This window comes from Homo sapiens, chromosome 5 (assembly GCF_000001405.40).
Source record: "Homo sapiens chromosome 5, GRCh38.p14 Primary Assembly".
NCBI lineage: Eukaryota > Metazoa > Chordata > Mammalia > Primates > Hominidae > Homo > Homo sapiens.
Genome location: NC_000005.10, coordinates 10,719,201 through 10,745,205, shown reverse-complemented (window position 1 = coordinate 10,745,205; position 26,005 = coordinate 10,719,201). Strand labels below are relative to the sequence as shown.

Here is a 26,005-nt window from a genome sequence, read left to right as displayed (position 1 = left end):
CCACGAGGCCTGGTACTCTGTGTAATAGTTTACTTTTACCACCATGCACTCCCACTCCCCATTTCTCTGGTGGACTGATTGAATAATCATAATCAATCATCATCATCACTCATTCTTACAGAGTGCAATGAGCTCGGCTCTGTTCTAACTGCTCTGTTCATATTAATTCATTTGATCTGTGCTACTGCTCAGTTTGTTATCATCCCTATCTCAGAGCTGTTTATTATTGGCTATTACTCCCATTCTGAATTACTACTCCCTCTTCAAGAGCTCTGAGAGTGAAGTGACTTTTCCGAGGGCACACGGTGGGTAAGTGGCAGTGCCAGCATTCCAGTGCTGGTGGCAGCTTCTGGATTCCTTACGCTGCTCCACGAGGCTTTGCTTAGCCATTGGGCTCTTGTTTTGTGCTGGGCACCTGCTAAGTGCTTCACGTTGAATTTAGTGCTCACCGCACCTATAAGTTGGTATTACTGTGTCCATTATAGAGACGAAGAAAGCAAAGCTTAGGGAGGTTTCCAACCCAATGATATGTAGTCGGTCATTGGCCTGGCCAGGATTCAGCCTTGAGTCTGTCTTGGTTTGGAAGCCCTTGCCCCTGATATGTCACGTAAGTCCCTGGATCCACATAGATTGCAATCCTGATCTCTCTGTAAATGAAACTTACTGATTCTGGGGTTGCCCATAACCTTGTCTGCGCTCCTCAAACCCATAATCCTACCCTTTTGCAGCCTCACCGTCAGTAGGTGGTCTAATTATCACTTTACAATAAGGTTTCAGGGGACTAGGCTGGTTTTACTTCAGGTATGGAAAAGCCTACTTACTTGCAGAATGTATAAAACACTTAATTATCCTCTTGGAAATGTCTTATAGCATGTGACTTTCCTATCCACATTACCCTGATCCTAAAGTTTTATATTCTTTAATTTTGATCCCAGTGTTGTTCAGATATGAAAATGAGTACCTAACACCAAATGCCAGTTTCCTTCTTAGCTATAGATGTACATTTGCAAAACTTTCTTTTCCTTGCCAGACATTCAAGACTAGTTTTAAATTTACTGACTCATCTCTGGTGGCTTCCTTCCCCATTAATTGGAAAATCAAGTACTGATTACAGAGAAAAGGGACAAGTGGAAGATTAAAGATGTTACTGTGTTGACAGGAAAAAAAAAGCCCTGCAACTTTTACTAGTTATTTTTCTTGCAATTGTTTATGCAACTCTTATTCCCTTTAATCTTGTAGCTTTCCACAGACTTAAACGTAATTTCTTATGCTACCAAGTTGTTTTGAGATGCTGTGTTAAAAAAAATATAGCCAAAATGTGAAAATGCTGCCAAAGAATTTCCGTCAACCTGAGTTCTAGTTACTGGTGGTTCTTCATGTCCAGGAAGAGTAATAGTCTTCATTATTATTAGCTAATACTTTCCTGCGTGGCTGCTTGATTCCATCTCGAGCCGACCCAATTAAGGAAACTGGTGGTTTCCAAGCCTTTTGTCGAGTGTCATAAGATAAAGTAGCCAGTTTCATTATGTAAAGGAGAGACTGCAGACATAGAATGGACTTTAGGAGTCAGGGTTCACTAGAGAAAACAGTTTAATGTCAAACATTTGCTGACATTCTGCCATGATCTGGGCTTGGTACAAGATATTAAAAAGGAATGGATAACAGGAGGGGTAAACCAGAAAAGAACGGGTTTGGTCACTGACAAGTGGTGGATGGAAAAGGGGTGGAAAGAAGGAAGAAACAGAAATGGGGAATAAGGAACAATTCTTCCCTGAGCTTGACTTTTTGCATGGTTCTGACCTAGAACCATGGCACTGTTTCACACACCTGACAAGTAAGCCAACAATTCACATCAACCAAGAGGTGGGAGGGACCCAGAATGGCGTACAAGCACTGACGGATTGAAGGGAGTGGGAAATGCAATTGCTTGATATAACCATATTTAAGGGAGTAGGGAGTTACCTAATTAACTTTGGAAAACAACATTTTTAAGTGGATACTATAAGGCTAAAGACAATAAAAAACTATGCATAAATGGTGTACTTCAGTTAGTAAACAGGCTTCTTAAGGGGCATGGTTTAGCAATTCTGAAATTGCCTTATGTGAATACTAGGATTCAACAAACAAAGAGCCGAGTTCCTCACTGTCAGAGAAAGAGGTTACAAATAGGAAAGGGAGAAGACTGAAATGAACTTGGTGCTGTTGGATGGGAACTAGAAGTATCTGTATGAACATATGGTTCTGAATGGATAGATGGATGGATGGATGGATGGATGGATGGTAGATACAAACATACCTATACAGATATACAGAAATGAATATGGATGAGAGGGTTAGTGTCATACCTGTATTTCCTAGCTTTGTTCACTGAGAGGGCCTAAAGAACTGACGCCCATGCAGCCATAAGCATCCCTAGGGCCCAGACTGTGGTGTCTAAACACCATTCCCCAGTCAGAGGAACCACGGTTCCTTGGAGAAGTAGTTGATTCCAGGCCAGGACAGGAAAAATACTAGATGAGCCTGGAATATACTGTAGTGCCAGAACATAAGGAAGTTCTCCAGAAAGGTTTGGGGCAGGGCAGAATGTTATAGAAGCCCACCTGAAGAATCTCCTTATGGCCTTAGCTGGAATAATTTGCAACAAAGTGATAGTATTAGATTTTTTTGTTTTTGTTTTTGAGATGGAGTTTCACTCTTGTTGCCCATGCTGGAGTGCAGTGGTATGATCTCAGCTCACTGCAACCTCTGTCTTCCGGTTTCAAGTGATTCTCCTGCCTCAGCCTCCCGAGTAGCTGGGATTACAGGCACCTGCCACCACGTCTGGCTAATTTTTTTAGTAGAGACGGGGTTTCACCATGTTGGCTAGGCTGGTCTTGAACTCCTGACCTTGTGATTGGCCCGTCTTAGCCTGCCAAAGTGCTGGGATTACAGGCATGAGCCACCGCACCCGGCCGATAGTGTTAGATTTTAACCCATACGGTAAAATAAATATCCATGAGTCCATACTGACATAAATAATTGAATTAACAAGCCAGGAGAACGGATAGCTCTTTTTTGTAGAAGAACTCCAGTTACTTAATGTATAAGAAAGGAGGTAACTAGAATATCACCAGGAGGCAAACAGCACAGTAATTGTTATAGACAAGATCCACTGATGGATGTCAGAATTAATGGGTAAAAGTTTGAGGAAAAACACGATATTTACGTAGTCAACAGGATATTTGCGTAGTCTCAAAGTATCTTCCCCAATATATCTATTAATTACAAAACAAAATGAAAAGAGTGTCTTTACCGTGGAAGCCATGAGAAGCACATTGTGTACAGTATGAAAACGGGAAGAAGGCAGAGCACCACCTTCAGCCTCAGCTGGGAAAATGCAGGTTGATTGTCACAAAAAATACTACAAAAAGCCTTCGCTGCTCTGCCTGTGTCTGTGAATGACCACGAAGGTGCTACGTGTGTTTGATTTTGGGGTTACAAATAAATTTTAGCAAGTAGGCACGTTTACAAAAATGGAATAAATAAATAGTAATGATGGACTGAACTTATTATCTCGCCCTTTATAGAAAAGCTTTGCCAACCCTCATTTTAACTTAGTCTGCCTTCAGAAACTAGTCTACTACTTCATAAACAACTTAAGAAACTTACAACAGTATACTTCTAATTACCACTCTACCCACTTTGTGTTTTGTCATATACTTTACTTCTACCAATACTATAAAAAATAATGTGCTGGTGATTACTTATCTCCTGGCCCTCCAAGAAAAAATTTTAAAAGCCCGATTTGTAGCATTTGCTAATTTTATGGTGTGAATACTCCTACCACAGCCCCCCACCGCACCTGCTTTTTTTTGAGACAGGGTCTCACTCTGCCACCCAGGCTGGATTGCAGTAGCATAATCCTGGCTTACTGCAGCCTCAGCCTCCTGGGCTCAAGCAGTCCTCCCACCTCTGCCTCGCAAGTAGCTAGGACTAGAGGTGTACACCACCACGCTCAGCAAATTTTTAAATTTTTTTTGTAGAGACCAGGTCTCACCACATTGCCCAGGCTGGTCTCAAACTCTTGAGCTCAAGCAATCCTCCTACCTCAGCCTCCCATAGTGCTGGGATTACAGGCGTGAACCACCACACCCAGCTACAGCCAATTTTAAACTAACAACATGACATCACTAAACATAGACTTGTGAAGACATGTGAACAGTCAGCTCTACATGCCAGTGTAAGTCAGCTCCAACACACCACTGGCTACAACTTCCACTTACATTGTTATTGTTTTTAATAGTAGCCTTTTAAAGATGTTTAAAGAAAGATAGATATGAAATATCTTTTAAAGATTCATTATGCACATCTAATGTTCATTCTGTCTGGTGTCCTTTATTTCTTCCCACTGGGTTTCTGTCTGTTTTATTCTCTTTCTGAAAATATTTGTGATAGTAAATGTCTGCTGGAGATGAATTCTTCCAGGTTTTGTCTTTCTGAAAATGTCTTTGTTTTGCTTTTACTTTTGAAAGATGTTTTCACTATATATTGAATTCCTAGTTAAAAATTTTTTCTTTCAATGTGTTAAACACGGCATTCCATTTTTTTCTGGCTTCCATTGTGTACAGCGAGAAGTCAGCCATAATTCTTGTCATTTTTCTCTGTATGTAATGTTTCTGTTTACCTATGGTTACTTTCAAGATTTTCTCTTTATTTCTGTTTTTCAACAGTGTGTTTGTGATGCACCAAGTTTGGTTGTCTTTGTATGTATCTTACTTGGGATTCACTGAGCATTTTTTATCTATGGTTTGGTGTCATCAGCTTGGAAAAATTGTTGGCCATTGTCTTTTCAAAAATATCCTTGCTTCATTTTTCTCTTCTTTTTTTGAGACTCTAGTTGTACCCATAGTGAACATTTGATATGTTCACAGGCCTCGGATGCTCTGTTTTTCTCCTCTCTGCCGCCGACTCTTTTTTCCTCTCCTATTTCAGTGTAGATGGTTTCTTTTGAACCTGACTCCTTTCTCTTGTGCCCAGTGTGGCAATAAGTCCAGTGAAAGAATTCATCTTTGATATCCTGTTTTTCATTTCCACTTCCATTTGGCTTTTAAAAATGTATAGCTTCCATTTCTCTGCTGAAATTTCCTGTCTTTTCACAGATATTTATCACAGTTATTTTAAATCTTCATCTGATGAGTCCAACATCCAGGCTTGGTCCCTCATTCTGTTAACTGTTTGTTTCTTTACAGTGGGTCACATCACTTCTTCGAGGGTCTTTTAATTTTTAAGTAAAGTAAAACCTGGTGTGTAAAAGAATGACAGAGACAGAAATAACACTAGAAGCTGAAGTAAATAATATTTACATCAGTCCAGAAAACAGCATGCCTTTTCTGTTCAAACCCATTCGTGTGTGTGTGTGTGTGTGTGTGTGTGTGTGTGAGTTAATTTAGTATTTATAGTTGAACCGGGCCTGGGCTGTATTGCTGCTTAAGTTAGATTCAAGACCTCACAAATATCAAATTAATTGAAGGTAGGATTATAACCTTCCCACTTGTAGTGGCTTAGGATATGAATGCCTGGAAGGTGTGTCTATTTTCCTGCCCTGCCATTGGACTTCAGCAGGCTCTGTGTGTGTGCTGAGCCTTGTGGGCGAGAGCCTTTCAGTTCCCTCATCCCTTTCCAACCAAGATGGACCTCTTCTTGGTCCTGGGTGAGGCCTAGAGTGCCAGTGGGAATCATAATATTTGCCTCATGTGATTATAATTCACTGGTCAATTAGACAACATATAAAAACACCTCAACCATCTCAGTCACGTATTAAGTGATAGCTGTTATTACATCTGTGGTGATTTTTTAAAACTTTTTGTTTTGAAATAATTTCAGACATACAGAAAAATTGCCAAAAAAAAAAAGTACTAAAAAAATCCCATCTACCCCTCACCATATTCCTCATATGGTAAAATTTCACCACACTTGCTGCTCCTCCCATTTCTTTCTTTCTTTTTTTTTTTTTTTTTTTTTTTTTGATTCAGAGTCTTGCTCTGTCACCCAGGCTGGAATGCAGTAGTGCGATCTCGGCTCTCTGCAAGCTCCACCTCCCAGGTTCACGCCATTCTCCTGCCTCAGCCTCCCCAGCAGCTGGGACTACAGGCACATGCCACCACGTTCGGCTAATTTTTTGTATTTTTAGTAGTGACAGAGTTTCAGCGTGTTAGCCAGGATGGTCTCGATCTCCTGACCTTGTGATCCACCCTCCTCAGCCTCCCAAAGTGCTGGGATTACAGGCATGAGCCACTGCACCCAGCCCTGCTCCTCCCATTTCTTAACGCTCACATATATCTAAATCTACATCTGTCTGTTTATACGAACTTTCTTCTGAAGAGCTCTTTTACTCTGGAATGCTTTAGTGTGTGTTTACTAAAAGCAAGTACTGTATAATTATCAAAATCAGGAAACTAACATTGAAACAGTAGTGTTATCTAATCTACAGACTCTTCAGACTTGGCCCATTTTCCCACTACTGCCACAAATTTCAGTCCAGGATTATACCTTCATTTAGTGATATATCTTTAGTCGCCTTTAATCTAGAACAGTTATCCAGCTTTTTAAAATCTTTCATGACCTTGACATGTTTGAAGAGTATAGGTCATTTATTTTGTAGGATTTTCCTCAGTTCAATTTTTCTGATGTGCCTTCATGATTGGATTCAGGTCCTGCTTTCAGGGCAGGGGCTGCACAGAAGCGAGGTCTTGTCCTTCTTGATGCATTGGATCAGGAGGTACACGACACTCCCCATCTCATGGCCGGTGATGCCAGCTTTGATTGTTCAGTTAAGATGGCATCTGCCAAGTTTCTCCACTATCAATTTACTATTTTACCCTTTGTAATTCATACATATCTCATGGGGGAATACTTTGCAACTCTATGAGTATTGTGTTTCTCATCAAACTTTTGCCTGCTACTTTCAGCATTCACTGATGATGCTTGCCTGAAACAGTAACTACTGCAGATATACTGTATTTGTTTCCCAGGGCTGCCTTAACAAAATGCCACAACCTGGGTGGCTTTAAATAACACATTTGTCATCTCAGTTCTGGAGGCCAGAATGCTGAAAGCAAGGTGTTGGCAGGTTGGTTGCTTCTGAGAGCTGTGGGAAGCATGTGTTCCATGCTGCTCCCCTAGCTTCTGGTGGTTTCTGCAATCTCTGGCATCCCCTGGCTTGTAGATGCATCACTCCAGTCCTGTGCCTTTACATGGTTTCTCCCTGTGTCTCTACATCATCTTTCCTCTTTGTGTGTCTTTGTGTCCAAATTTCCCCTTTTCATAAGGACACTGGTCATATTGGATTAGGACCCATCCTGATGACTTCATTTTAACTGGATTAATAAAGATCCCACTTCCAAATAAGCTCACATTCTGAAGTACTGGGAGTTAGGATTTCAGCATGCCTTTTTTGGAGGACACAAGTCAACCCGTAGCAGATGCCAAATGGTGATCTATAGCAATTTTTAATGGTTCTCTCAGTCAAGTTCATTGTTAAGATAATAAATAGAAAATTTAAAACTTCAGTTAAAAGATGGCCCAGCAATGTGCCAGCTTAAATCTCAGGCATGTATGCCTGGGAATTTTTATCTTTAGCCATGATCTGCATGTTTGAACTTTAAGCCGTTTGGTGAACCAATTTCAACATTACCCTTAAGTTCTAATGTCACCTTTTATATCCAGGCTAGTTGCCAGCTGCCTTTTAAGAGGGGCGTGTCCCTGTTCTCTACCATGTGTGTGGAGATTTCAGTAGACCAGGGATGCTGAGCACCGGCCAGCTCTCAGCTCCAGTTTTTTTTGTTGTTGTTGTTGTTTTGTTTTTGTTTTTGTTTTTTTTTTGAGACAGAGTCTTGCTCTGTCGCCCAGGCTGGAGTGCAGTGGCGTGATCTCAGCTCACTGCAAGCTCTACCTCCCAGGTTCAAGTGATTCTCCTGCCTCAGCCTCCCGAGTAGCTGGGATTACAGGCTACATGCCACCATGCCCAGCTAATTATTGTATTTTTAGTAGAGACAGGATATCACTATGTTGGCCAGGCTGCTCTCAAACTCCTGACCTCAGGTGATCGCCTGCCTCAGCCTCCCAAAGTGTTGGGATTACAGGCGTGAGCCACCGTACCTGGCTCAGCTCCAATATTGTGAGTGCCCTGTGCTGGCAGACAGGGCCCACCACTTGCCAGCAGCAGCTGACCCAGGTGCTGGAGTGCCACGGGCCACAGAGCCCTGCACTGGCCAAAGGCAGAGCCGCAACATGGCCCAGGCACTGAGTGACATGTAGTGTCTGTTTGAGGGGGTAACTGGTTGTCACTGCTTATGGACTGAGAGGCCTCTTCCAGGGAGAAGCTGTAAGGAAGGTACAGCAAGACCCTCAGAATAAAAAGCAGGCCTGATTTCATGGCAGCATAAAATAGTAACAAATAGCCCATCTGCCCTGGGAAGGAGAATCAGGAAGATTCCCGTTGCTGTTGGGCAGTTCTTCCTGTCAGGTTTGTCAGACTGAGACTCAGAGACCAAGTTTGTAGGCAAAATGGGGCATTGCTGAAGTGTCACCGTTTATGTGCCAGCAAGGGAGTGGTAAAAGGAAGCGTTTTGCCTGTGGCAACTTGGGCGGCAGAAAGTTGACAGAACAAGCACAAGCCCTCAAACCCCCTGACGGCAGCCGAGTCTGCTGGCAGCATCCGCTGCGTGTGAAGCCCCATGCAGGATGACATCTGTGCAAGCGAGGCTGCCCAGGGAGGGTTGGCGTCTGGCAGCCTCTCCAGAGGCTGCAGGCTGTCCTAATGGCAGCTTCGAGATCTGCCATTAGGACAAAGCCATTCTCATCTCCACCCAGGTTAGAGTGGGCAGAACTTCCAGGCAGGCTGGCTGCCTCTCCACCAAGAAGCAGCACATTAGTTTTCCTAGTGCTCCCATAACACAGTTGCACAAACTGGGTGGTTTAAAAACAGAAATGTTTCGTCTCACAGTTGTGGAGGCCAGAAGCTTGAGATCAAGGTGTTGGCAGGACCACACTCCCTCTGCAGGCGCTGGGGAAGGTCTGTCGCAGGCCTGTCTCGCAGCTTCTGATAGTGCTTGGCTGGTGGCAGCCTCACTCTGCTGCCTTTGCCTGACGTTCTCCCTGTGTGCCTGTCTGTGACCAAACTTCCCCTTTTTATAAAGACACCTGTCCTATTGCATTAGGGGCCTACCCTTCTCCAGTATGACCTCTTCTTAACTAATTACATCTGCAACAACCCTGTTTGTAGATAAGGTCATGCCCTTAAGTACTGGAGCCTAGGATCTCAACCTCTGTTTCTGGGGGAAACGTAAATTCAACCCACAACAAGCAAGCAGCACCTTGTGCTACTAGGCGTCAGCTGGCAGTACCTGGCTCTGTTGGCATTCCAACAGCAATGACAGCACGATAATTTATTAACTATGATGCTTACATGGCAAATGATTCTCTCTTCCCCTATGCCAGTGTTTACTGTTGCTCAGGCTGAGCACTGCAGCAGCCCATTTTCCTGACCAAGGGCATGCTGTGTACAGTGGTGTGGCCCCAAATTTGATCACACACTCCATCAATTAAGAAAAATGTTTTCTGCATGCATCCCCAGCATATGAGTATTCATTTTAAAAGTATACATGTGCACTGCATTACCACTATATAAGTTATGAAACATATACAAAATGAATGGTAAGATATTTGATAAAGATGAAATCAGCAGTATTTTAAATGTCTTGCTATTTCTAGTGACTTGGTACTATCATTAGCTCATCTCAAGGTCCAGATACCCTTGAGATGGGATTTCTCGTTAATGATTCAGGATGTAAATCTAAATTTCTAATGGGCTTCCAGGCAATTTCAGGTTTTGTTGGGGAGAGCTGCTTCTTGTCACATGTGACTAGGTTGTTGGTATTTGTAACATGGAGACCAATGACGACAGGCAGGAGCGCTTCCCTTTGCTTATGTTCACTTGTGCTTGTATTGAGATTAACTTCGGCCTCCAGAGGTTATTTTTTCAGGAATTTTTTTTAAGCTACTTGTCCATTTTGTAAAAGTTAGCTTAAATTCACTCTAAATTCATCATCTGAGCACAGTTTGAGGCACTTGGGATATATTGAGGATGATACTAGAGAATTGAACTCATTACCCCGTTAACCAGATGGAGTCATGGGTATGTTGCAAGACACTGAAAGCAGATGAAGGGCATGGAGGCCTTTGGGTGGCGGCCCCACGGCTTCCCTGGGAGCTCTCAGGACCAGGAGGCCGGTGAGGGACAGTCTGCCTGGGGGCCACATAGTAAATAGTGGCAAAGCTTAATTCATTTTGTTTCTTTAGATAAAAAATAAATGTAAATAGAATATATCTTCATGTTTAGCTCATTTTCCCAGCTAAATAATTGCCTTCTTAAGCACATGGGACTGCCTTAATCATGGATTAATTCATCATGGCCCAATACCACTTTTGTTGTTGTATATAATAGAAATTAAACATTTCTCCCAACACCTGTGGATATGTGTATTTTAGCATGATCAGTAGAAATGACGCTGTGAGTATTTTAAGGAGTTTTGCTCAGAGTCGCCCTAGGAACACAGGGTAATAGCACTGTCAGGATTCCCAGTGAATCTAGCCTGATTCCTCCTGTCCTGGAGGTGGATGCCAGAGAAAGGCTTGAGGCTGGCAGGCAGTGAATCAAAGCCTCGCCACAGAGCGGCACAGCATATGGGTACCCATATGTCCGAGATCCTGGCTGAACTCCTTAGATTTGGGGATAAGAAAGAAAGTGCGGGCGGCCAGGCTTTCCTCTAGGGCCAGTGGCTTCTGGTAATAGGCTTTGAGACAGTATTTGTACAACTCTGGCTACATAACGGATGTGGAAACCAGGTGTGATTTATGAGCTTCCGAATGGCCCCTTCCTGCTCTCTCTCCCTCCACAGGTCCCAGCCTCCTTCTAAGATTGCCACACTCCTATCTACACCGGCAGGACTGTTTTGATCTGATGGAAGGAGGGAAGAAAGGAAATGGGGCTATCAGTTCTCCCTTCCAGGCTCTGCTCTGTGTGTCTGCACTGCAGTCATCCTCTTGGAACGGAGGCTCCTTTGTTTTTATGGTGTGACTTGAAAGGTTGCACTATTTATCAGGAGTGTTTTCTTACTACATAAACATATGAACTGAATTTAAATCAACTCTCCAGTGCTTGGATTTTATAGAATGAAATATGTAATAATAACCACATGAAAGTAAGAGCCCTTATTGAGTTTATTACATTAAAATGACTAGGCCTGAAGTTTTTAAGTACTTTTTATCTAGATAAGCCCTGTTGACTTCAATTGTCTCAGAAGGCATAGCACTCAGAAAACACTTGCTGAATCAGTAATAATTATCTTGGACTTTGATTCTCTAAAGATAAAATAGTCAATTAACTTGATTACTTCTTATTTTCCAGTTGGTGAAAAAAGGTGAATGCAGTAGTAGCCATGTTGGGGAAGAAAATTCTTTATCCTCACATGTTCTGTTGGGCCTTCCCTTCTCTCTCGGCAGGTGTTTACTTTGATTTTTTATAGTGCATATCCCCTAAGGCAGGACTGTAGTCATTACTGTGGAATTAATACGGGCTGGAGTATCAAGGGTGGTGTTCTACCCAAGGGATTCTCATAGAATCAGCAGATTTAGAGTTGGACACAACCTGAGGATCACTTAATCCAGGTGCTCCTAAATGGAGGCCTTGAGAGGTGAGATGTCAGATTTTGCTAAAGATCCAGAAGGATCTAGATACCAAAAGTGAAACATATATTGGGTAGCAATCCACAAAGTTTTTTGTGTTAAAAATTAGCCCTCGTCCTCTTCTGGGCATATACCCAAAAGAATTGAAAGCAGCAGGGTCACCAAGAGATATCTGTACTCCTGTGTTCATAGCAGCACTGTTCACAGTAGCCAGGAGGTGGAAGCAACTCACGTGCCCATCAACAGATGAATGGAGAAACAAAATGTAGGGTATACACACACACACACACACACACACACACACACACACACACACACACACACACGCAGGAATATTATTCAACCTTAAAAAGGGGAAATCCTGTCATATGCCACGTCATGGGGGAACCTGGAGGTCATTATGCCTAGTGAAAGAAACCAGCTACCAAAGGAAAAGTACTGCATGATTCTATGTATATGCAGTATCTAAAGTAGTCAGACTCATAGAAAGTTAGAATGGTGCTTACCAGGGACTGGGGGAAAGGGAAATGTGGATTAGTGTTTAATGTGTACAGAGTATCAGATTTGCAAGATGACAAAGATCTGGAGATCTGTTTCTCAACAATGTAAATATACTTAACACTACTAAGCTGTACACTTAAAATGGTTAAGATGGTAAGTTTTGTGATAAGTGTTTTAACCATAATAAAAATATTTTTAAAACAAAAAACAAGGCCCTTGCTGCTGTGGTAAGCAGTTTGATGGACCCTCAAAAAGCTAAACAGCATTTCCATGTGACCTGGCAATTCCCTTCCTAGGTATACACTCAAGAGAACTGAAAACAAGTGCTCAAGCAGAAACTTGTACATGAATGTTCATCCCATCATTATTCACAATAGCCAAAAAATTGAAACAGCCCAAATGCTCATCAGCCAATGAGTGGAGAAACAAAACATGGTAAGTCATACAAAGAATGAAGTGCTGATTAATGATACAGTCATGGAGGAACTTTAAAAACATTGTGCTACATAAAAGAAACCAGACACCAGGCCACATATTCAACAAGGCCATTTATATGAAATATCCAGAATAAGCAAATGCATAGACACAGGCAGCAGATGACTGATTGCCAGGGGCTGAGGAGAAAAAGGGGAATGGTGAGTGACAGCTTAATGGGTATCGATTGCTTTTGAGGATGATGAAAGTTCTGGAATTAGATGGTGGTGGTGGGTTGCATAACATAGTGAATGTATTAAAAGCCACTAAATTGTATAATTTAAGGTGGTTAAAATGGATTTTATGTTCTATGAATGTTACCTCAATAAAAAGGAAGTCCTTAGGCATGAAAATTGGGAACCATGGCTAGGTTCAGCCTGCACATTGTCATCACTGAGAAAGCGGAAGCTCACTGTGGTGACAGGACTTTCTGGAGGTCCATGGCTGAACTCCTCAGGGACATCAGGACTCTTCAGGGTTGGGGAGAGAGGCATCTCATGCAGCCAGGCTGCAGGCCCAGGCAGCAAGGACACATTGACTCCTTGAAGAAGTCTCAGGATGGGGTTGACCACAGGAGAGGTGGGTGCCTGGGGCTTTTCCAGGGCCACCTCTCTGCCCTCCTCCTAGAGCAGCTGCCTCCACAGGCTGGCAGAGGGTTGGCCATAGTAGATCCATGCTTCACACCCAGACAAGTGGCATTGAGAGGAAGAAACAGGCATCTTCTCTTTCATCTCTTTTTAGGAGCAAGTAAAGCTTCGCCAGAAGCCCCCTAGCAAACTCATTGGCCAGAATCAGGTGACCTGCCTATCCCTAAGTCAGACATTGCTAAGATTGCCTTAGATATGTGGTTTACAGTGGCATGGAGGTTGGGAAGTCAGGCACAAAGACCAGCACCACAGGCAGTGTGGCCGGGCAGAAGCCAGGCTAGGGAGGTCTCCTGGAGTAGTGGGGATGAGCAGGTGGCCCAGGTCTTTACAGAAAAGGAATGAAGTGCAGGGAGCACTGCTGAGCCAGATGTTAGGACCTGGAGCCTGGGCAGTGAGGTTCAGGAACCCTCACACAGGGCTCGGGATCCAAAGCCAATGCAGCTGGTAGCAAGAGATCAGAATCCAGGTCCAGGGTCTGAGGTAAAACTGGCACCAGCCAAAGCCATGGAGAGATTCCTCCCTTTCCTCCACCCGCAGGGCTCTCAGTAGAGAAAGATTCTCCCCACCAGGGCTCTCAATAGAGAAAGATTCCCCCCACCAGGGCTCTCAGTACAGAAAGATTCCCCCCCACTAGGGCTCTCAATAGAGAAAGATTCCCCCCACCAGGGCTCTCAGTACAGAAAGATTCCCCCTCACTAGGGCTCTCAGTAGAGAAAGATTCCCCCTCACTAGGGCTCTCAGTAGAGAAAGATTCCCCCCACCAGGGCTCTCAGTCCAGAAAGATTCCCCCCCACTAGGGCTCTCAATAGAGAAAGATTCCCTCCACCAGGGCTCTCAGTACAGAAAGATTCCCCCCCACCAGGGCTCTCAATAGAGAAAGATTCCCCCCACCATGGCTCTCAGTACAGAAAGATTCCCCCTCACTAGGGCTCTCAGTAGAGAAAGATTCCCCCTCACTAGGGCTCTCAGTAGAGAAAGATTCCCCCCACCAGGGCTCTCAGTAGAGAAAGATTTCCCCCCCACCAGGGCTCTCAATAGAGAAGGATTCCCCCCACCAGGGCTCTCAATAGAGAAGGATTCCCCCTACCAGGGCTCTCAGTAGAGAAAGATTCCCCCCACCAGGGCTCTCAGTACAGAAAGATTCCCCCTCACTAGGGCTCTCAATAGAGAAAGATTCCCCCCCACCAGGGCTCTCAGTAGAGAAAGATTCCCCCCTACCAGGGCTCTCAATAGAGAAAGATTCCCCCCGACCCGGGCTCTCAGTACAGAAAGATTCCCCCTGACCCGGGCTCTCAGTACAGAAAGATTCCCCCTACCAGGGCTCTCAATAGAGAAAGATTCCCCCCGACCCGGTCTCTCAGTACAGAAAGATTGCCCCAACCAGGGTTCTCAGTAGAGAAAAATTCTTCTCGACCAGGGCTCTCAGTAGAGAAAGATTCCCCCCCACCGGGGCTCTCAGTCCCCCACTCTTGTAGTAGATTTGTATAGGACAGGGTTTCGTGTCCTCATAATTTTTTCAGCAGCAGCCCTTAGCTGTTTTCCCTGGCACGCACATCTGAGCATCCACTCGCTGCACGTGGGCATTTGCTTATTCCCCTGATGTCTGTAAGTGCCTCGTCTGTGCCAGGTACTCTACACAGTGGGGACACATTAGTGAGCAAAACAAAATCCCTCTTCTCACAGGGCAGCCATGCCACTGGGAACAACAGATGATAAGCACATGGACAGCTGAAGATGAGCTGTGGCAAGTAGACTTAGCAATGCTGCAAAGAAAGCACAGAAGGCAAGGGGCAGTGAAGGGTCTTTATCTCCTGAGAAAACCGCCTGTGAGGACAGCCTGATTGAATTTTCGTAACCACCATTAATGGTAGCCAAGGCCTTCTGCAGAATGCATGTGGAAAGAGGAAATGAAGACAGATGCTAGGGTAGCTGTCCCAGGACACAGCTGTGCAGGCAGGGTCCTCGTGGGCCCACAAGTGCATGCTGGAGCTCGCCAGGCAGGCTCTGGCAGTTCCTGGATGTCTGAGCACTTCTGCTTCACTGTTAACTTGGGGTCGCCGTAAGGATGAATTTTCTGTTAAGGGGAACTGGAGTAGCATCTCTGTGGACATGGCTTCAGGATGTATGGGCAAGCCTGAGGCTAAGGATCCTGCAAACTAGGCACGATCAAGAGTGTTTGGTGTGCTAGTCAGAATGTGGTTGGCTGTAGTTGCTCTGGCATTCTAGGTAGGGACAACCGAAGAAAGAACACTGGAAAATAGGGGACATCTTTGGTATTCCAAGAATTTGACAAAACCTCTAACTAGATCACTTTGAATTTATCTAAGTCAGGAATAAAGAAGATTATAAATGACATCTGTTGAGCATTCCTTTGTAGCAGTTTCAGAGTGATAATGAAATTTAGGGCAATCTTGGCCAATCTAAATTAAGAGAAGTAATTGCTGTTTACTTTTTGGGGGAGCATCGTGGGAGGTAGGAAATGAAGGGGAGGGAAGCTAAGATGATGGAGTAGAAATACACATGTTCTGATATGGGTGCCTATTTTCAAAGATGGTGGTGGGGTATAAAGTTTGTTTGATTATAAGAGCATGAATTCATTGCATTTATCTAACATTCCTACCTACAGAACAGCAGAGCATGACCTCTGTAGCTAAGGTTAACTTTCAGCTATACCTGGCTTCAGTGGAAAGTGGGCATGAGGGAATTGTTTTGACATTTTTGAAACCTACACTCTTTGTGGGAAAAGGGTTGTTGATACCCTGCAATATTAAATAAGTTCCGTGGGTTGAGAAAAAAACTAGGACAATTAACAACATGGATGTTGTCAATTAACATGCTGTTTAATTAACATGAGAAAGTTGATACTCTTTGAACCTAAAAGAGCACATAGAATTTCGATAGGTGGAAATATGGTGAATCTGTACTGGTTGGGGGAACAGCATCAATGTTCATTTTGAAAAAAGCAGAATAAATGATGTCATTGATTCTGGGGATGGGGCTGACTGGCCCTCTCCCCCTGCCTCTTCCTCTCCGCATCTCTCCCCCCAATTCATTCACACTTTGACACAAGGGTGCCACGTAGGGGTATCTCTCCAGACCTTCTTCGTGGGTTAGCCCCTCAGCCCCCTGTCCAGTGCTGTGGTCGTGATCGAAAGTTGTATCTAAGGCAAGACATGTTTTTCCTAGTGTGTGATTAATTTGAACCCAGGAGTTTGGTGATTGTATCTGTTTACTTGGACTTACTGGAAGGTCAAGTTTTCTCAAGAACATTAACAAATCAGTAAAATTATCAATTAGTAGCACTGCTTTAATTTCTTAAACTCAGAATTGACTTGTCCATACATCCGTTTATATTTAATTTCCCTGAAGCTCTGAAAATAGGGCAAAAGAACATAGTCTTGGTCCATCAGAGGTCTTCTTTTTTGTCTTTTTGGCCTATCCTTTGGGCTCAGTCTAAATCTTTCCCCCAGGATTTTAAGTAACTCCACACTTAAGGTTTCTAAAAAGTAGCAGTGATAGCTGAAAACCTAATACAGACTGAAAATGAATGGGAAGTTCATATAAATCAGTCATAAACACATCAAATTCCCAGTGAATTCAAAAGAAGATGAACAAATAATTCTCAAAAGAATAAATATTTGTAAACAAATATTAGTAAATAAATACAAAAAAATAGCATTTCACTTTCTGATATCCAGGAAAAAAAAGTAAGTTACAACCGCCTTCATGTTCTTTTCTTTGCCTGTTAATCATAGACAGTCAGCCTTCTGTATCTGTGGGTTCTGCATCCAAGGGTTCAACCCACGGCAGAGTCACCCAACTGTGAACTGAAAATATTCAGGAAAAAAATGGATGATTGCATCTGTACTGAACAGGTACAGACTTTTTTTTCTTGTCACTGTTCCCCAAACAATACAGGATAACAGCTATTTACATAGCATTTACATCGTATCAGGAATTGTAAGTAACTGGAGATGATTTAAAGTATATGGGAGGATGTGTGAAGGTTATATGCACATACTACACTATTTTATATCAGGGATGTGAGCATCTGTGGGATTGTGGTATCCACAGGGGTGCTGGAACCACTCTCCCATGGATGCCAAGGGATGACTGCATAGATTGGATATCTCAATTTATACTCCCAGAAACATAGCAGATTGCCTACATACAGCACACCATTTTCGTCCCTCAAACTCTGCTCCCCTTTCCATCTTGTTACTAGGCTCTCATAACTTGGATATTGAGTTGTCCAAGCCAGAACCAGGGAATCAACATGTATTTCTCCCTCTCCCCAGTCCCCCCCATCTAAACCCTCAGAATGAAGTCGGGCCCTTGAGCATCAGGAGCAAGGCAGCAGGCCCCATCCCCACCACCCTCTCACGGCCGACTGTCAGGGCTTCCTGCCTGGCACTCAGAACCAGCCAATCCAAACGTCAAGTCTCAGCTTGGAAGCCAGCCCCAGGAACCCTTTCCTGACAGCCCTGCCTTCATCAGGGTGTGCTGACCCCTGTGCGTTCCCACAGGCACCTGGGACTTCCCCTCTCATGACACTGTGGTTCCATTGTGGGTGGTTCTCAGACTACAAGCTCCCCCGGGGCAGTGGCCAGGTACTGTTGCCTGCTGTGTGCCAGCCACCCATTCTCCTGACACATGGGCACATTGAGAGACAGTTCCTATGGACATGTCATGTTTCTGCACAGTCCAGGTCCTCTGAGCAAAGACATTTACAGCCAAGTTAATAATGTTCGTATAAGGAGACATTTTAGGACAATACAGCTTACAGAAGTTTCCCTTCCACTTCCCTAAAACAGTTGCTTACATTCCAGGATCAAGCTAAGTCTCTGTCTCTCCCTCTCGACAGTGGAGAGGGAAGGTCACCAGCAGCCCTGTACAAGGTCAGCGTTCCCTAATTCTGGGGCTTCTCTTCTGTGATGATTCCACTACATGCATAAGTGACACTTGGCCCTCACCATGTCACATCACTGTGGGGACTGGCACTTAGCAAACTAGTGCTAAGATGTCGTTCTTTCTGCTCTCTCTGACTCAGAGGTCTTGCACCTTCTGTTGTGAACACTCATACTCACACACACACACACTTTTCCACACACATGCACACACAGTGGCAGGCTGACGTATTAGCTGACAAGTGACATAAAACCTCAGGCCCTTCACAATTTTGGATGTAACGAGGGTAAGCTTGGAGGGTGATATGACTCGCCTGTTGTCCCTCAGCTAAGCTGAAGTGGCAGGGGCTGAAGAGCAGTCAGAACCCCGCCTCCTGGGCCGGGGCCGGCACCTTCACCGTCACACCTCTGCCTCCTCTGTGTGACCAAGGAGCCTCCCAAACTTGAATGCACTTGCAGATCACCTGAGAATCTGGTCAGAATGCAGATTCTGCCTCAGCAGGGCTGGGGTGGGCCTGAGACTATTTCTCATGAGCTCCCAGAGTTAGTGGTGCTGCTTGTTCCCCACCACGCTGTGAGCAGCACTTATCTGAGACACACACACCATCCCAGTCTCTGCAATGCAAGTGAAGCCTACACATTTCAGAAATGTATGAACACTGTGTTAAAGGGAGAAAATGGTTCATGAACAGTTTATTCTTTCACTGTGGGTGAGTAATGATAACTTCCTAATTGGCCACCATATTTATAAGGACTCCAGAGGGGAGGCGGAAGAGAGTATAAATGACAACTGTCCAACAGGCAGAATTGAACATTTTTTTCCATGGGACTTGAATCTATTTTGAAAGCATCTGTCATGTGTCCTGTTGACTTTATGATTATGTCTCAACTTAATCGGTCCTTGGGGAATGAGAAGTTTAGAAGATTGTCCCCAGTATGACTTAAGCAATTCAGCAGTATTCAGGAAGTCTAATAGCCAAATAACAGCAAATACAGCTACCTTTAGACCAGGTGCTTTACATACTTAGTCTTATTAGTCTTCACATCCTACAAGGTAAGTGGTGGGACTCTCTTTTGTGGTCAGGTATATCTACTGAGAAAGACTAATGGCATGCCTAAGGTCATTACCAAAGTAACTGACAAATAAGATGTGAATCCAAATGTGTGACTCCAAAGACTTCCAGTCTCCTGCCCACCGTTTCTGCTCTGTTAACTAGTCACCTTTTCCCAAAGAGTTGTGGGGAAATTATTGAGAAGAAAGCCTAAAATCCTACTTCAAATGTTTAAGTTGAGAGACATCTTTTCAGCACTAGGATTGTATTATTAGGGACTGCTTTCCATCAAGCTCATTTAAGACAGAGGAGTTTCAGTGATTTTCCTTCTACCCCAATTGTCAACTCAAGCTTTGTGGCTTTATAAGACACCACGGCAGTGTTGGAGCAGCTCTGCAGCGGCACCGGCTTCTGCAGAGGCTCCCTGCCTCCACCTGAAGGTCAGCAGCTGCCCTGGTGAGTCTTCGGATCTTGTGGGCAGGAGCCTCAGAACCAGGAACACAACAACCACTCAGAAACCCCTGGCCCAGCGTGCAGGAGCCCACACGCCTCAGGACTGGAGACAGCCCGAGCTCAGGACCCGGCATAACCATGTCAGAGGCTAGCGATTGGAGACTTTCAAGGCGCTGCAAATAAAGGAAATTAGACTGGAAAAGTACAAACGAGAGGAAGCTGGAGCCAGGGTTAAAACCAATGACTCACCTCTACCAAATTCATGATGACGATAAGTGGAAAAAAAATAAGCCTGAAATGGGAAGGGTGGTGCCAAATGGGCCCAAAACAAACACGGCTGAAGAATGGAAGGTTTGTTTTCACTTTGCCAGGGATTCCAAATGTGATCAGAGATAGAAACAAATGCAGCCCTTTCCCAGCCTTAGCGAGGCCAAGCCCATGGGGTGTTGGGTCAGAGGGGAGCCTGAAGGGGAGAGGGGGGAGGAAGAAGCTCAAGTCAGCACACAGCTGCAGAACCCCCACCTTCTCCTCCTGGGGGGAGTAGAGAGCTACACCCCCTGGCGGCTGTTGGGTTTGTCAGAGCTTGACTCTGTCCAGATGGCTGCGCACCCGGGTTGAGAGGCCCTGGGGAGCACCAGCACTCTTCCCTCCAAGTCACTGGAGCCCTCATCCATTAGGGACACAGAACCAGAAAGGAGGAATGTTTCCTCTGCAGCTTTAGTTTGACCCCACCTAGGCTGAGTCTTTGGTCTGTTAGTTCATGTGCTGGTTATGACTTTTTGAAAATCTTGGACCACATTTATGACTCTTAAGCAATTTAGGTACACATAGTCCACAAGAGCCAGCCTCCCCTGGTCTACCTGAAATGTGTGTAAAGCATTTAATCTAGGAAAGCCCTAAGCTGATGGGCCCTGGGGTGCTGGCCTATTGCTCCTGGGTGGCCCCTGGTAAATCATGAACCTTTGGTGCCTGTTTCCTCATCTGTAGTGCAAGATTTGTGCATGTGTCTCTTTCTCTTATGGGACTTTTATAGAGAAAAGAAAATGAGGGAAAAATATGAATATCTGTAAGCTTTGAAAAGAACTAAAAGCACAGCGTGAATTAACAGCAGTCCCATATTCATGGGGTTTCTGTTATAGAGGTGGAACCTTGCTAGACTCTGGAGAAAATAAGAAAGGATAAGTTAGTCCTCAAGAACCTTCCAGAGATGGATTAATCCTCACTGAGGCCATCTGCATTCCTTTGGTGGCAGAGTAGTTCCTGGGTAGGTATTTATAAATCATTTCAGGCTTAAACAGGATTAGAGGTGCTGTGCTTTTAAATTGTTTTAATTTAGAGTTTTTACCAGAAATTATTGTATAACATTTTGAGGGTAGCACAAGGAAATGGATTGCCTTTGCTGTATGGTGCCTTGAACACATCCCACAGGTTTACTTTTTTGCTATATGTTTTTTTCTGCACCCAAACAATGCACCGTTTGTATTTTGGCATTTACTTCAATAATCTTCCAAATAGACACCCGCAAGTACACTTGGATAGCAGACAGTCCCCTAAGATACAGAGCAAGATGTGCGACTCTCCTTCTGTATCCTTAGGAGCTCTGTCAACATAGAAGGTGTCACAACTCAGCATTGTAATGAAGATGAAGATAATGGCATATAATAACATGTAGGGCCAACTCAGACCAGAGATCTTTAATGAGGTAGGAGTTTGGTTTCACACATTCTTTTGCTTTAGTATCTGGCCTGGAGCCTGTGATAGAATCTCTCCTCAGAAAGGGCTATGTGTTAATTAGTGACTGTAACATGCTGCCTTTTTCTTTACTTAAAATGCTCAAGAATTGTTTTGTTTCTTGCCTGGGTCTTCTTAATGATTGTTTCTTATGTGCCTCCATCCCTTCTCTGCTATTTCTTTCCCCAATATCCCAATGAAATGAGCTTCACGAGAGTAGTTTTGCTTGGATGACCCAAAGGAGTTAAGTACTATTTCCAAGGTTTTGTAGCCACTGAATTGTTCTTACAAGGCATCGTGCTGCAAAGCAAGGACTGGCCTAGAAGACCTGAGCTGATCGCTGTACTAATAGCCAGCTGAGGAGCTCTGTGCAAATCAAATTATATTTACAGGATAGACTATATATAGGGCGTTGAATTAATTGCCATGGTTTTTATCATTCTTATGTTCTAATTTTTTGACCTGATGTGCTATTAATACAGTATCTTCCCTTTTCTATCAGTGTGAGTTTGTTATTGTAAATGGTGTTTTACAGGGACTGAACATTTAGCTTTTCTTTTTTAGTTGCTTACTCTTTTAGAGGAGACTGTGATGGCAAGAGGGAGGAGACATGGCAAAATACATAAGGCATATCTGTCTATATTTCTTTGGCATTGACATTTCATCAAGGGACATGACTCTGAAAGATGGCTGTCCCTTCTAATGGCTGGACTTTGCGGCTGTAGTGGCCAGAAGCATAAAGACGTGTAAAGAGGATTTTTCGGTACATCGAACACTGAATGTCTGGCTATGCAGCTTCTGTGATTGATATTCGGTTCTGTGGGCTCCTTCCTTCTTAAGTGCAGTCTGTAAAGGATGGTGGGGAATAGTAATTTCAAGAAAGATTTGGCATGAGTATCAGTCGTTGGGTGGTGGGTGTGAGAAGGGCGTTGCTATTGGTGGGTGAAGTGTTGTCACTTAGATGTTGTCATTTTCCCCCATATAGTTTTCATTAAGGTGACATTGCTGTGGCATCTGGGTCCAGGCAGGGTATAGCAGCCAGCATCTGACCACTTGCAGTCGTGAACATATATATATATGTATATATATGTGTGTATATATGTGTATATATGTATATATATGTATATATGTATATATATGTATGTATGTATATATATGCATGTATATGTATATATGTATATATATGCATGTATATGTATATGTATGCATATGTATGTGTATATATATAGAGAGAGAGTTTATTAAGTATTAACTTACACAATTACAAGGTCCCACAGTAGGCTGTCTGCAAGCTTGAGGAGCAAGAAGAGCTAGGTCCGAGCCTCAAAACTGAAGAACTTGGAGTCCGATGTTCGAGGGCAGGAAGCGTCCAGCATGGGAGAAAGATGTAGGCTGGGAGGTGAGGCCAGTCTCTCGCTTCATGTTTTTCTGCCTGCTTTATATTTGTTGATGGCTGATTAGATGGTGCCCACCAGATTAAGGGTGGATCTGCCTTCTCCAGCCCACTGACTCAAATGTTAATCTCCTTTGACAACACCCTCACAGATGCACCCAGGATCAATATTGCATCCTTCAATCCAATCAAGTCGACACTCATTATTAACCACCACAAGTCCATCCCTTGTCAACTTGAACCCATACACATTTCCTGAGATCATACATAATCTTCAAATACAATAAGATCATAATTACACCTAACATAATACAACTATCCTTTGTACTACCAGAAACGCACTGATCCCCAACCCAAATACTATTACATAAGATTAGCAATACTTAAATGCTGATATGAAGTCAGTAAATCTTATGTCACACAATAAAGGAAAAGGAAATACAATAAAGATATTTTCTTAGTACAAGTGTATACATGCACAAACATGTTTTTAGCAAAAGAAAGAGGAAATACTCATGACAATTACAGTCCCCATTTCTGGAGCCGGAACTGGTCACATGGTCGTAGCTGGTATTGATGACTACCTTCTTCTACCCAATCTGTATTCCCTTTGCCTTCAGCAAGCACCTCAGCAGGTTGTGGTTTTTTCCCTGCTTCATTCTTGAGGGGTCTGAGCCATTTGTAGTCCTGCCTGGGTTGGGCTGTTGTAGTTTCCCGTCGACCTTAATCACAGGCAATGGTAAGACTAAGAGACACCCTAATGGATCTCCTGTATTCCATGCATACTCTTCCTTATCTCTGTTGTGGAGTTGTAGACTGATTTCATCTAGAGAGTCTGGGTCAATCACCCCAGCCAACACTGTAACTCCCTTCTTACCCTGTTGACTTAAGGTAATAAGAGCCCAAAGTGTCCAGGCAATCTTAACTTCAAGTTTAATGGAATCATTGTTGTGTCTCCTGGTAGCCGCGTTCCTCCCTTTGGAACTAAGACCTCTAGGCCAGCAGAACATAATGTTGTGGGAACAGGAAGCAAAAATTTTGCCAGTGGATCATTAGGGGTGATGGTGAGTAGTGCCACTTCCACTTCCACCTCTTAGTTCCTGGACCCGTGAATCCTGGCTGTGGGAGAAACAGTAACATATATTGGAGGCTGACTGAGAGCATACACAGCCTTTTGGAGAACTTTGCCCCAGCCCTACAAAGTATTGTCACCTAGTTAGTGTTGTAATTGTGACTTCAAAAGGCCACTCCACTGTTCTATCAATCCAGCTGCTTCAGGATGATGGAGAACATGGTAAGACCAGTGAATTCCATGAGCATGAGCCCAGTGTCAGACTTCTTTAGTCATAAAGTGCGTGCCTTGGTCAGAGGCAATACTGTTTGGAATACCATGACAGTGGATAAGGCATTCCGCGAGTCCACGGCTGGTAGTCTTGGCAGAAGCATTGCATGCAGGATAGGCAAACCTATATCCAGAGTAAGTGTCTATTCCAGTGAGGATAAATTTCTGCCATGATGCCATCTTCCATGATGGAAAAGGTCCATTATAATCAACTAGTCACTAGGTAGCTGGCTGATCACCCCGAGGAATGGTGCCGTATTGAGGGCTCAGTGTTGGTCTCTGCTGCTGGCAAATTGGGCACTCAGCAGTGGCTGTAGCCAAGTCAGCCTTGGTGAATGGAAGTCCATGTTGCTGAGCCCATGCGTAACCTCCATCCCTGCCACCATGGCCACTTTGTTCATGGGCCCATTGGGCGATGACATGTGGCTGGGGAAAGAGGCTGAGTGGTGTCCACAGAACGGGTCATCGCATCCACTTGATTATTAAAATCCTCCTCTGCTGAGGTCACCCATTGGTGAGCACTCACAGGGGATACAAATATCTTCACAGTTTTTGACCACTGAGAGAAGTCCATCCACATACCTCTTCCCCAAATTTCTTTGTCACCAATTTTCCAATCATGCTTCTTTGAAGTCCCTAGCCATCCAGGGTGCTTTCTGACCCATCAAGCCATAAAGTGGGTCATGCACAGCAGCATTCCATCATCAAATGGAAGTGATGTAAGTATGACTGGGCTTGAGGAAGTCCTGAAGGCACAAGTAAGTTACATGAGGAAGTGGCTCAAATGCCCATGGTCTCCTTGGTCAGACCATATGGTCAAAGGTATTATGTATAAAGTCAATAAACTTGCTTCTCACAAACGGTGAATCAGACCGCTTGGAATGACCTCCCTGACCATCCAGCCAAACCATTGGCTGCAGCCCATGAATCAGTATGTAATCACACATTTGATTATTTCTCCTTCCATGCAAAGTACACAACCAGGTGCACTGCTGGAAGTTCTGCCCACTGGGAAGATTTCCCTTCACTGCATCCTTCAGGGATGTCCTAGAAAGGGGCTGTAGTGCTGCAGCTGTCTACTTTTGGGTGGTGCCTGCATATTGTGCAGAACCATCTGTGAACCAGGCTCTAGTCTTCTCTTCCTCTGCCAACTGATCATAGGGAACTCCTCATGAGGCCATCAGTGCAGGCTGTGGGAGAGAAGGCAGGGTGGCAGGAGTGGAGACCATGGGCATTTGAGCCACTTCCTCATGTAACTTACTTATGCCTTCAGGACGTGCTCAAGCCCAATCACATTTATATCACTTCCATTCGATGATGGAATGCTGCTGTGCATGACCCACTTTATGGATAGATGGGTCAGAAAGCACCCAGTTCATGGTAGGCAGTTCAGGTCACATGGTGACTTCATGACCCATAGTCAAATGTTCAGTTTCCACCAAAGCCCAGTAACAGGCCAAGAGCTGTCTCTCAAAAGGAGAGTAGTTATCTGCAGAAGATGGCAGGGCCTTGCTCCAAAATCCTAGTGGCCTCTGCTGTGATTAGCCTATGGGGCCCTGCTGTAGGCTCCAAACAGCACCCCTATCTGCCACTGACAACTCCAGCACCGTTGGATCTGCTGGGTCATATGGCCCAAGTGACAGAGCAGCTTGCATAGCAGCCTGGACCTGTTGCAGAGCCCTCTCCTGTTCTGGACCCCACTCAAAGCTGACAGCCTTTCGGGTCACTTGATAAATGGACCAGAGTAACACATCAAAATGAGGAATGTGTTGCCTCCAAAA

General features: G+C 44.2%; 1 protein-coding gene across 2 annotated transcripts in view, besides 5 other annotated features; it reads left to right on the top strand.

The window, feature by feature from the left end:
• DAP (death associated protein) overlaps positions 1-26,005 on the top strand; it is an 82,005-nt gene that overhangs the window by 16,029 nt on the left and 39,971 nt on the right. The gene's annotated exons all lie outside the window — the stretch shown is intronic.
• Positions 8,849-8,998: an enhancer, noted in NCBI's record as "active region_22381". NCBI's record gives its function as "activates an Ori minimal core promoter by ATAC-STARR-seq in GM12878 lymphoblastoid cells {active_cell/tissue: GM12878}" and the evidence as "EXISTENCE:reporter gene assay evidence [ECO:0000049][PMID:35858748]".
• Positions 13,220-13,719: an enhancer, noted in NCBI's record as "NANOG-H3K4me1 hESC enhancer chr5:10731599-10732098 (GRCh37/hg19 assembly coordinates)". NCBI's record gives its function as "activates a minimal SCP1, AML or CMV promoter by ChIP-STARR-seq in naive H9 embryonic stem cells {active_cell/tissue: H9 hESC(naive)}" and the evidence as "EXISTENCE:reporter gene assay evidence [ECO:0000049][PMID:30033119]".
• Positions 13,720-14,221: an enhancer, noted in NCBI's record as "NANOG-H3K4me1 hESC enhancer chr5:10731097-10731598 (GRCh37/hg19 assembly coordinates)". NCBI's record gives its function as "activates a minimal SCP1, AML or CMV promoter by ChIP-STARR-seq in naive H9 embryonic stem cells {active_cell/tissue: H9 hESC(naive)}" and the evidence as "EXISTENCE:reporter gene assay evidence [ECO:0000049][PMID:30033119]".
• Positions 17,356-17,855: an enhancer, noted in NCBI's record as "H3K4me1 hESC enhancer chr5:10727463-10727962 (GRCh37/hg19 assembly coordinates)". NCBI's record gives its function as "activates a minimal SCP1, AML or CMV promoter by ChIP-STARR-seq in primed H9 embryonic stem cells {active_cell/tissue: H9 hESC(primed)}" and the evidence as "EXISTENCE:reporter gene assay evidence [ECO:0000049][PMID:30033119]".
• Positions 18,727-18,890: a silencer, noted in NCBI's record as "fragment chr5:10726428-10726591 (GRCh37/hg19 assembly coordinates)". NCBI's record gives its function as "represses an EF-1alpha promoter that drives an FKBP-Casp9 reporter gene in an ReSE screen in HepG2 liver carcinoma cells {active_cell/tissue: HepG2}" and the evidence as "EXISTENCE:reporter gene assay evidence [ECO:0000049][PMID:32094911]".